General features: G+C 40.9%; 1 protein-coding gene across 4 annotated transcripts in view, besides 1 other annotated feature; it reads right to left on the reverse strand.

The window, feature by feature from the left end:
• Window positions 1-12,346, reverse strand: part of GREM2 (gremlin 2, DAN family BMP antagonist) — a 122,583-nt gene extending 110,237 nt beyond the window's left edge. For all 4 annotated transcript variants that reach the window (NM_022469.4, XM_011544249.3, XM_047427832.1 and 1 more), the window contains exon 1: window positions 12,075-12,346. The gene's annotated coding sequence lies outside the window, so the exon portion shown is untranslated. The remainder of the gene's footprint in view (window positions 1-12,074) is intronic.
• Window positions 7,050-7,549: an enhancer, noted in NCBI's record as "H3K4me1 hESC enhancer chr1:240770159-240770658 (GRCh37/hg19 assembly coordinates)". NCBI's record gives its function as "activates a minimal SCP1, AML or CMV promoter by ChIP-STARR-seq in naive H9 embryonic stem cells {active_cell/tissue: H9 hESC(naive)}" and the evidence as "EXISTENCE:reporter gene assay evidence [ECO:0000049][PMID:30033119]".

The raw sequence follows: 12,722 nt of genomic DNA on the forward strand, positions 1-12,722 counted from the left end.
AATGATTAGGACTGTTTCAGTGGACCTCGGCCTTGGAGCATCCAAGCTCCGGGATAATTTAGTACCACAGTGAGCACTAGGGAAAATAATCCAAATGAAACAACAACAACAAACTTTGTTGCATTTATATGAAATCCTTCTATTGCCCCCAAAGCAAAATGATTTCTCCCCCAGTCTGGCACATATCCTGCAGCTGTACCTTGGACCTTTGTGTAATCTATCTTGCAACACTTCATGTACCGTTGGTTTAGGGTCAGCCTAATGGTGGAGGCTCAAAAGGGAGTATGGTGTAGTAGAAAGAAGGGTAGACTGGGAATGAGGAAACCTGGGTTCGAGTGCTAATTTGACAACAAGGTAGTTTGCAGTCTTAAAACACACAACTTTTTGGGCTATCGCTTCCTTATGTGTAAAACGAGATTACGTGTTTTCCTTTTATCTTGGAAACTCTTGATTTGGAAGGCATCAAACATCCAACATGTATCATGGAGTGGAGAAAGCAGAAAAAAAATCGTGAAAAGTGGCACAGTGTAAATTTCCCAGACCTTTACAGGAGCACTCAGATCATCTTCCTTTGAAATAACAGTTCACTAATCCAACACTCAAGGTACCTATGTGTCCATGTCTTTACCAGTTCTATCCGGTTTTTACCTTGTGTTTTTATTGTTTTCTTTTCTTTTTTCTTTTCTTTTTTGAGATGGAGTTTTGCTCTTGTCACCTAGGCTGGAGTGCAATGGCACGGTCTCGGCTCACTACAACCTCCACCTCCCAGGCTCAAGCAATTCTCCTACCTCAGCCTCCTGAGTAGCTGGGATTACAGGCGCCCACCACCGCACACGGCTAAGATTTGTATTTTTAATAGAGACGGGGCTTCACCATGTTGGCCAGTCTGGTCTCGAACTCCTGACCTCAGGAGATCCACCTGCCTCGGCCTCCCAAAATGCTGGGATTACAGGCGTGAGCCACCGTGCCTGGCTGTGTTTTTATTGCTGACATGCATGTCTCTCCTTCCCCATGAACTATTAGCTCCTTGAAAAAGTGGTCCGTCTTTTGATCTCCTGCTATTTCTAGCTCTGGTTCCATAAATAATTGTTGAATGAATCAATGGTTTTGTTTAGAGTGCTTGATTAGCTCTTCCTCCAAATAATTATTATTTCCATTTCAAAGATAAAATTCAGGCCCAAATATTTCAATTTGTTTATCTCAGTTCACAAAATTAGATTTGAAGCCTCAATTCCAAAGTAGTAATAGTAATAAACTGTTCTTCCAGCAACCTTCACAGAAACATTCTGAAGACCTTTGCTTCTCAGCCCCAATTCACTAATATCAAAAGCCTGCAAAATAATAATAGTTACAGTAACAATAATAATTGAGTTTTTATGCCTGTATGAAAAGCATTATCTCACATAATTCGTAAGACAGCGCTATACAACTTCAGATGAGGATTACTGATACAAAGTGATAGTTCCACACAGATAGGAACAAAGCCAGGTTTATTTGACTTCAAAATTCATGCTCCAAACCAATGGTACACATCCCTCTGTTTGACTACCCACCCAACATAACCTACATGGAGTCTTATGCCTGTGTCTCCAGTTTGAAGCCTAAGATAATGTGAGGACATAGAGCCAAAGTTATTAAGGGAAAAAGCTTCTTAAGCCCTCAGTCTGAATGCTTATTTAGCCTCTGTGAAGAGGCTGTGTAAAGTTAGGAAATTTACTGCACCTCAGTGAGCTTCAGTTCTTTGTTGGTAAGATGTGGACAACAGCATTTACCTCAAAAAGATGTTACAAAAGCTTATTAAGATATTGTGTGTTAGGCCCGGCACGGTGGCTCACACCTGTAATCCCAGCACTTTGAGAGGCCGAGGCGGGCATCTCTCCTGAGGTCAGGAGTTCGAGACCAGCCTGGCCAACATGGCGAAACCCCGTCTCTGCTAAAAATACAAAAATTAGCCAGGCATGGTGGCACATGCCTGTAATCCCAGCTACTCTGGAGGCTGAGGCAGGAGAATCGCTTGAACCCGGGAGGCGGAGGTTGCAGCGAGCCAAGGCCGAGATTGCACCATTGCACTCCAGCCTGGGCGACAGAGTGAGAATCCATCTCAAAAAAAAAAAAAAAAAAAGGATATTGTGTGTTAAAATACCTGGAACATATAGTAAGTGCTCAATAAATCCTCTCTTGCCCCCCTGCCTACTTTTCCTTTCAGCAAAAGCAATACCTTCCAAAACTAGTTCCATAACCTTATGGATATGAAGGATACACTTGTAGGAATATCTTGGCATCCTTTAATACAGAGAAGTTCTCAGCTTAGGTACCAAATAAAACACTTTGCCTCCCTAGAAATTTTCAGAGCTTGCCCAGGCCCCTAAAAGCTATTTTCTGTCAACACTTCCACTAAGCTGAACAGGAAGAGAGGTTGCTTGTCTTATCATTAACAGAATTCTTTTCTGAGGTTTTTATTTGGGTACTTAGTGGGCCAGAATTTAACATTATCACTCCATCCCATGATACTTCAGCTGAGTAAAGTCAGAAGTATTCTTTCTTATATGTTTTTTCCTTAATTTATTTTTTTTTAAATGGGGCCATTGGTTCTGTAACAATAGTGACCTCTACAGGGACATTTATTCATTTATTCACCAAACACTAAGCATTGTGATTCTCTGTAACATATAAGATAAAAATAGTTATAATTCCTTAAAGAGCTCACATCGTAGCAGAAGAGAAAAGAGCATGAAAAGAGAATTCCAGCCTGTAATCCCAGCACTTTGGGAGGCCGAGGCAGGAGGATCACGAGGTCAAGAGATCAAGACCATCCTGGCCAACATGGTGAAACCGCGTCTCTAATAAAAATAAAAAATTAGCCGGGCATGGTGACAGAGCCTGTAATCCCAGGTACTTGGGAGGCTTAGGCAGGAGAATTGCTTGAACCCAGGAGGCAGAGTTTGCAGTGATCTGAGATCCCGCCACTGCACTCCAGCCTGGTGACAGAGCGAGACTGATCTCAAAAAAAATCCAGCACTTTGGGAGGCCGAGGCAGGCGGATCACGAGGTCAGGAGATCGAGACCATCCTGGCTAACATGGTGAAACCCCTTCTCTACTAAAAATACAAAATACTAGCCGGGTGTGGTGGCGGGCGCCTGTAGTCCCAGCTACTCGGGAGGCTGAGGCAGGAGAATGGCGTGAACCCGGGAGGTGGAGCTTGCAGTGAGCTGAGATCGCACCATTGCACTCCAGCCTGGGTGACAGAGCTGCGACAGAGCGAGACTCGTCTCAAAAAAAAATAAAATAGAGAGAATTCCAAGGCGGTGAATGCGGTGCGGTGCGGAGCTATCAATGGGAACTCATGCAGATAGGCTGTGACTCCAGGGCACCAGCCACACCTGATCATCAACTGCGGCCTTGAGCCATTCAATTCACTCATCCAACAAGTAATTACTGGTGCTTGAGACCATCCAGTTTCAAATACAAAGAGAAGTGGCATGAGGTATACACTCAGGGACTCTTCCCTCTTTATAGAAGCCATTTGACTCAAACTAGAGCAAATTCAAGTAAACGGAAGAGATACACATCTCCTCTTCTCTTTCTCTTGAGCCTAAAGAGCCTCAGTGTTGGGTTTTACCATCAAGGCCCAACTCCATATCTGAGGCATGGCTCCTCTCCCATCCATCTCCCATCCATCTCCCATCCATCTCCCATCCATCTCCCATCCATCTCCCCCTCCAGCACAAACTTCATTGGCTCACATGGCTACCCATCCCATTTAAGACAGCTGAAGGTGTTAGAAAGGTTGACATCAAATTTACTGCCCTACTGTGTGGGATTTTTTACCTGTTCTTCCCCATGGACTGCCTTAAAGTCTGATGAACCTTAATGATTCCTTCTCAGAATAATGTTTTTAAATTCAAAAAGTATATACTATTACAAGGCAAGCTATATATACATACATATACATACACACACACATATATGTTATTGTGTTATTATATATGTATTTTATATATGCTATTGTGTTATATATGTATTTTATATATATATATATGCTATTGTGTTAGTCCATTTGCACTGCTATCATGGAATATCCAAGGAGGCTGGGTAATTTATAAGGAAAAGAGGTTTATTTGACTCACAGCTCTGCAGATGTACAAGAAACATGGTGCTGGCATCTTCTGCTTGGCTTCTAATGAGGGCCTTAACAGGCTTCCACTCACGGCGAGGGGTTAAGGGGAGGCAGGGGTGTCACACAGTAAGAGAGGGAGCAGGAGAGAAGGAAGGGAGGTGCCGGGCTCTCTTTAAAGAACGAGCTTTCAAGTGAATGAATGCACTGAGGGAGAACCCACTCATTACCGTGGGGAGGGCACCAAGCCATTAATGCGGGATCTACCCCCAGGATGAAAACACCTCCCACCAGGCCCTACCTCCAGTATTGGGGGTCACATTTCAACATGTGATGTGGAGGGGACAAATATCCCAATTAGATCAGCTTTATATAACTATACGTATGTGTGTGTGTGTGTGTGTGTGTGTGTGTATAAAATGTATGATATACAATTGTCTGGTCCTGTTTATAAGGGACTAAATAATGAGATCTAAAAGCAGGTATGATCACTTCCATAATTTTCAAGTAGTTTTAAGTACTAGGTAAGTGTAAGTGATATTTTGAGACTCTGGTATCAACTGTAACATGAAAGTAATTCTGATTTCTATTGGTGACAAAGCTGTGATTCCACTGATGTTACTGTGGTTTGTTACATTCGTAACTAAAGAGAATGTGATATTTCAGTTACAGGTAAGTGGAAGTCAAGAAGCAATTTTTTTTTCTATCAAATGTCACAGATTCCCCTCAATTCTTATAGAACACCAAAGTAGGCTGGGCATGGTGGCTCCCGCCTATAATCCCAGCACTTTGTGAGGCCAAGGCAGGAGGCTCGCTTGAGCCCCCGAGTTCGGGACCAGCTTGGCAAACATGGTGAGACCCATCTCTTTGTAAAAAGTAAAAGTAGAGGTTCCTCTTCAAAGACTTTCCTCCCCATCTAATTAGGAATAAATAGTAACTTCTCTTAGAAGCAAAATTTATTCAGACCTGTGCTCCTAAATATTTGCCCTGGCATGCTTATACTGGTCCAAGCAAGCATTAGGTCATAGCCTGTTCCTCTTCCTTATTTAAAAGTGTTTTTACCTTTCTCAGCATTCCACAAGTTACTTCCTCCTTCCTTTGTTCTCCTCTACCTTTGCCTCTTTTAAAAAGTTCTAAGTTGCTAGCCAATCGGGACAAATACAGAATGTGAGGTCCCGTTCCAGCCAATGGAAACCAGACACAGCAGTAGGATGGATGCGTCAGGTTATAAATGACCCTGTTTCCTTTGTTCAGTGTACTCTCGTGGCAAAACTGCTGGCGAGTGTACCCTTTCTACGGAAGTAAAAATGGCCTTACTAAATATATTAAATTTATGTTCAAGTGCTATTTCTTTATGGCACCAAGGAACAAGCATTCCAAACATCTCCAAAAAAATTGAAAAATTAGCCAGGCATGGTGGCACATGCCTCTAGTCTCAGCTACTTCGGAGGCTGAGGTGGGGGGATCACTTGAACGTGAGAGGTTGAGGCTGCAGTGAGTCGAGATCATGCCACTGCACCACTGCACTCCAGCCTGGGCAGCAGAATGAGACCTTGTCTCAAAAAACAAACAAACAAACAAATAAAAAATCACCAAGGTAAAAAGTATCCTTATAGAGATTTTTTAAAAATCTAACCTCTGAAAACCACATAGAACAAATTAGTCCCCTTAAAAACTCTCCTGCATCTCCTAAATTAAATCTTCTAATCCAAAAATCACAGCGTTTCCAGAATTTTCAGTAATCTTATCATTTTCTTCTGCTTGAGCAAGAATTTGTTAATTTCCAAGGGGAAGCAATGAGCCCAGAAAGTCAGCGTGCATTCCAGGTTGTTATGAACAGGCCATCCCAGGGGAATGACAGATAAATTTACAGGAACACCTTGGCATTCTCTAATAATAAATAAATAAATTTTCTTCTACTTGGAAAAACAAAACCTATCAAAATTGTTGATTTAGTATTTTAATGTCTAAGTCGTAAATTTTTAAAAAATTAATTGATTTTTCATGACATTTTTATTTTCTCACTGAAATGATCATTTTAAACATTTAGGAGTCTGTAGCATAAGGGATAAATAACACAAGACAAAAAGAAAAAAAACAAAAAGTTCCCAGGACAAAAGACTGGGTTTGTCATTTGTTTAGCCTATGGTAGATGTGTGTGTTTAGAATTTTTTGAAGACTGTGTCTTTCAGCAGATAAGCAGCAGTCTCTGATCCTAGCTCTAAATTAGCTGCAGCTGGATCTCAATAGATTCAGATCAGAAATAGTTCCTTAAGCATCAGTTTTGTGCTGAGAAATAAAAAGAAGAACAAGAAATAGCCTCTGCCCTCAGGGGAGCTTGAAAGTTAGTGAAAGATGTAAACATGTTACAAAAATAATTATACAAGGAAGACTAAAACCATATTAAACTCCAGTGGAAAAAATATCTGAAATGATGTAAAGAAAAAATTTGAGCTATTACAATGAAAAGACTTGTGTTGTCAAATGGCTTTGTTAGTAAGGCCAAAACAATGCCATAGATTTTCGGAGGATCCTGGTTATAATACCCAACAAACACCACTGTAATCATTAGGTTATTCCTGGTCTTTCCTACTAGTATTGAGCTCTTTAAGGTACCTTAACTGTCTTCTTCACTATTATGCCCTATAATCTTGAACACTGCTTTATGCACATAGTATCTTTTCAGTACTTGTAAGTGAATGAAGGCACAACATACTAGAGGAAGTGTGGAAGAGTTAAGATTGAAACAGTTCTTTTTTTTTTTTTTTTTTGAGGTGGAGTTTCGCTCCTGTTGCCCAGGCTGGAGTGCAGTGGCGCGATCTCAGCTCACTGCAACCTCCACCTCCCAGGTTCAAGCCATTCTCCTGCCACAGCCTCCCAAGTAGCTGGGATTACAGGCGTGCACCACCATGCCCGGCTAATTTTGTATTTTTAGTAGAGACGGGATTTCACCATGTTGGCCAGGCTGGTCTCAAACTCCTGACCTCAAGTGATCCACCCACCTCGGCCTCCCAAAATGCTGGGATTACAGGCGTGAGCCACTGAGCCCTGCCAGATTGAAATGATTCTACAGCATGCTTGACTGTGTCACTTTTTGAAAGCTCTAAGTCTTAGTAATGTCATCTGTAAATGAGGATAATAACACTACTAGCTAAGATTTTTGTAAGGATTAGATGATACCTATAAAATGTTTAGCAAATAATCATTCTTTAACTAACAACTGTCAGCCATTTCTCAGAGGGAAGCACGTAGAATTGATGTTTACAGCTGGAATGAAGCCCAGTGAGCCACTTCCGCCTTCTCATTGTAAAGAGTAAACTCAAGAGAGAGTGTAGACTTTCCCCAAGGATGTGAAAAATGGAAACAGGTGCAAACCCAGGTCTCCTGAGTTTCTTAGGTTAAATTTTTTTTTTCATAATTACTAGATAACTCTCTTCTAGGTCAAAAAAAGTCTTAATACTATTAGACCCTCTGACAGAAAGTGATGCTTTTTGCCTGTTTCCTTCAAAGTTTACATTCTCTGAGTTCATAGAAATGACATTGTAAGTGTATTTTCCATACCATTGGTCAAGTTGAAGTCTTAAATACGTATGTTTGAAGACACATATTTCTGCATTGCTCCAAGTTTTCATAAGGAACCATGAAAGGTGGTCTCTGCAGGCCAGGGGATGGTGCCTCCAGACACTGAGCACGCTCTTAGCAGAGAAGTTAAAGTTTACACAGATCTATGTTGCTCTCAAGTAGTGGGCCTGAGGGTGAATATTTTTCATCTGTTTTTCGTCTATTAGATGGATGATAAACATCTGATCAAATCCACTCCTGTGGATCTGAAACTAAATCAATCAATATTCCATCATGATTGAAATCATATATGTAAATTCAATCATTTAATGATGGGCTAGTGCTATAGAAGATGTTTGCTGTTATTGTTTTTGCATATGTGAATAACTGGCAGGAATTAAATGCAAGAATGTGTGAAATAAACACAAGAATGTATGTGAAATACAGGAATTAAACACAAGAATGTATGTGAAAATATAATGTAAAGGACTATACTAGTAAAAGCAACCATACTGTTGATGATTAATTGTTATTATCTTATAATTATACAAAGAGACTCAATAGATATCTGTTGAATGCATGCCTGTAGGACTGACTGACTGAAGGAATATGTTCTCAGCTATCAGATGTTACGGTTACAAGAAATTCTCAGTAAAACTTGCAGAAGATAAACTCCTGAGACTGTGGTGAAGACTGAATTAAATAATCTGTGAGATGTGTCTACTCTAATCTGGCACATGGTATGCATTCAACAAATGTTAGAACAATCTTAATTTTTAAACATTATCAATAAGAGAAAAGTAAAGATCGTTTGAAATGCTGATGAGATTTAAATTCCTAGCAAAGGCAGAGAAATCTCATTACAGAGCTGCTGGATTTTTATTAACTCTAAGTACAATGTCACACATCCATCAACTTTCCCAAAACGTAGCTACCATAATTAGAAAATACAATGCATTATCCAGGGTTCGTGTTATAATTGCATAAAAGCAGAGAGAAGCAGCTAGTTTTCCATAGATGATAAGATTAGCTTCCTCTCAGCCTTTACAGTCACACCTATAGAGCCAGGTTGAATAATATTTTTAATGCAGACAATGTTTGTTCTAGACGAAGTCAACTTAGCATTTCATAGGAGCTGGTCAAGTGTTCCCCTGCTTGAATAGGCTCAAAGGGTAAAGCTAATTAAAAGAAAGGGAAATTGAGTTCACTGTGAAATATGCTGCTGCTTTTCTGATTTTGCCAGGTAGCACCAATTCTGGAGGCCAAAATAGAAACAAACCCTTCTGGATGGTGTGCCTTTACTAAGACTCTAGAGTTGGCTCTCCAAAGGGAAGAGGGCACTTCAAGTTGGAGGGAGATTTTTTAGCCATTTGGCGACCGGAGTCTTCCTCATGGTCAGGGGGAGGTATCAAATCACTTTTTCAGAGTTTGCATGCTGCCCTCTCCTGGCCTGTATAGACAGGAGTGTTACAGTACATCAAATGCATTTATTTTCCCCCCACACCTGTGTGGGATATACCTAAGAACACAAGAGAGTTTATTTAAAATATTCAGGATGTCTCATCAAAAATGTATACTTGAAGCTAATCAAAAATCTATATCTGAAGGTAATTAGAGGAAATACATTCATTTTCATTTTCCTTTGGCTCCAGGATTTATACTGAAGCATGTCAATCTTTATATCATGTCACTTTATACCCTTGTGCTTCCACCCGCTCACGTTCCATCCCCTTAACATCCATGTGGCTCTGGGACTCTGTTCTACAAATCAGTGCGCCAACACCGTCTGGGTCCCATCAATGTGCTGGCCACTTAAAGACATCTTTCCAACTGGAAGTGGTGGTGATGGGAAATCTGCTCAAGTCATTGGTCAGTGTTGAGTCTGAGGACCACATTTTAGCCTGACATGTGATCAAAATTAATTCTAGACATTATTAGGCCTATTATACCTAATATTATTAGAAACAAAAGAACTATCAAGAAGCAGCTAATCCAAGAAGAAGATGGCACCATAGGTCTAATTTTTAATTGAACACCTTGTCCTTCAAAACAATGTCTTGTGTGACCCATTTAAGCCGAGTGCTGGGCACGTTTTCCCTGGTTGAAATAATTCTTTTTTGTCCGTAGATATTTGAAGGACCCTGATACTGAGAACATGCCTGCAACCTGGCACGTTGCACAGGGGCAATTGCTGTAGCAACACTGAAGTACAAAAGTGGCTGAACTAATCTGTTGAGTGCCTGTGCCTCTGCAGTCTCTCAGTGTCTGCCCTTGACCCAGACAGGCCAATCCTCTCCATATCAATAAGAACTGAGAGTCTAATACCATTCCTTTGCATTAGAAAAAGAGATGTTTACTTTAAAGAGATTTAAAGGCATGTACCTTGTTTAAACTTTACCAAACTTATAACTCGAGGGTATGTAAAGCTCTGGCTGGCTCTACTAAGATTCATAGAGAATGAACTGTTGATTACCTCTCTCGGTGAAGAATGATAGCAAAAAACAATGAATAATCACAGCATTGTTTATATTTATCTTTGAAAAGCCATCAGTGTCTCCTAGTCTATACAAAGTGAATATAATCCGTCTCACACTCACAAAGTTGCTACCAACACACCCAACATTGCTTTAGAGTTAGAAAGATAAGACAGAAATAGGTCCCAACTTATTGCAGCTATTTTATTTATAAAAGATTGACAAATGCTCACAATCATACAAAACAACTCTTTACCAATAGAATGTAGTTGGGTCGATTAACTTATATTTATTTGCACAGATCAGTTCTTTACAGTTTCTTTCTGATGTAAAAGGAAAAAAAATTTATCTATAAAGTTAAAATGCCTTCTCCCAAATATAATATTCACTTGCCATGTCTATACTTTGACACGATTTCAAAAAGCACCCAGTTAAATCATTCAGATCAGTCGATGGGCAAAAACTATGAAGTTTTCCTGACTCTATGGTAGAGCTAAGCATGCATTTCCTTTAATGACAGAAAGAACATGTTCATCTGATAAGAAACAAAAAACAAACAAACAAAAAAAGGTCGATATAAATTCTCCACTGTGATATACAACACAAATACCTTTCTTATAACTTTCTTATCTTCCTTGGTCGGGCACATGTCTTGGGACAAAGGCTACCTTGAAAGCTAAGCACGGCTGAATGGTGAGTCGATTGCGAATTATCAGTGAATGGTTTGGATATGATCGACTAAGACTCCACTGGGAAGAGTGCTGTTTAGACGAAAGGTAAGGTATTTGATTGCCCCTGCACCTGCTGCAGAGCCATTCTCTGGCTGTACTGGAGTCCCAATCTGTTCCACTGCAGAAAAAGCGCTTTTCATAGGGATTCAGAGCCACATGAATACCAGCCAGCCCTTGAAGACTGCAAAGCAAGACCAATTTTTTAACTGACTTCTTGCAGTCCCCTCTGGCTTTTCCCAGGAAAGACTGAACTCATTAAGCAATGCTAATTTAATCACAAGTCATCAAGGGGTGGGGAGTTATATAACTATCTTTAAAATTTCAAATCAAACATGATAAAATCTCAGGAAATAGATTTTTTTAACAAAACCCACACCTCAAAATAAAAAAAAAAAAGAAATAGAAGTTTATGAGTTTTAGGATCAAATAAAATAAAATCAAACATCAATATTTTCTTACAACTATCACATCTACTAGATAGTTCCAATTCATGACTTTTTAATGTAGTAATATGTGAGATCCTGGAACTGAACGTGCCTGGCGTGCAGAATACAAATGCATTTTTAAACTCGTAAGACAATGTAGAAATAAGTCAGGTACACAGGAAGGATCACTGACAATCACGTTAAAAAATAACTACCTCCCTTCTCTCTTCTCCTTCAACCACAGCGTAGTGATAATAGTGATATTTCCCTCATGAGGCGGGTGCACCTTGGCCATATGCTTTAAAAAATCAAAACTCTGCCGAAGTCCGCTGTGGTTCCTATTCCTGTAGGGAGGATATTAACCTGGTAGGTAGGTGGGAGAGGTTCGTAGCCCGCTTTCTAACAATTGGATGGTGTTTGCCTCGCTATAGTCATGATTAGAATGGCGGTCACCAAGAGGTATTTATTGGTGGGATGACAACATATTGGTATTGACGTTATTTAAAAGAGAAAGAAAGAGCGATCACGGTCAAGTTTGAAGGTCCTTATGTTACACCCACGCATAATTCAATAGGTGAATAAACCTTGTGGCCCCCAGACACACGCCAACAGCTTGAATTACCCGGGGTGAAACCGGCGAGACGTCCACTCAGGGCTTTCGGTCCTGACCAGCCACGGAACAAACAACGTCAATTCATTCTAAGTGCCTGGTGAAGGTAGAAATCAGAAACCGTGTCTGTGTCACGTTAGTCGTGACAAGCTGCGTACCTGCAATGACGTGATGGAAGCCTCCTCCTCGGGTCCCTTCTCTCTCTCTCTCTCCCTCTCCCTCTGCCTTCTCTGAGTTCTCTAGTCCACAGCGGGGTCTAAGTTTGGTCTCCCGCCGCCGCTTTCAGTTCGACCGCAGCCAGACTGCAGCAGACGCCCATAAGAGAAGCGCGCCGGCTGAGGGTGCAGGAGAGGCGAGAGCGCGCCCCGCGCCGCGCGGTCCCAGGCTGGCTGCTCCTGCAGATGTGAAAGGAGCCCGGAGACTTAGCTCTGAATCCTCTCGGCGCTGCATGGGGATATTATCAGAGTCTGGGATTTCTATTGGCTCTGAACACCAAACAAATCACACCAGCCACCCCCCTTCTCTGTTTCACTCAGCGCTTGTTTCTCATCTAACCCACAAACATTGCAGCCACACCACACACTTCAGTCGCTTGCAATGTTTCTCTTTTCCTCCTTCCAGTCAGTGGATTTACAACCCTGTGGTCAGCTCTAACATTTTTTTTAGCAGACTTCCAATTCTAACCTTCTTGTTTATGTAGAGAAATTCTCCCTCCATCCCCTAAACCAGAAAAAAACAAAAAACAAAAAAAAAACACTCATTCCCTTCAGATCTTCTTCCTTTTGCTGATGGGTTTCCAATGTGAA

The sequence above is a fragment of the Homo sapiens genome, chromosome 1 (genome assembly GCF_000001405.40).
Source record: "Homo sapiens chromosome 1, GRCh38.p14 Primary Assembly".
NCBI lineage: Eukaryota > Metazoa > Chordata > Mammalia > Primates > Hominidae > Homo > Homo sapiens.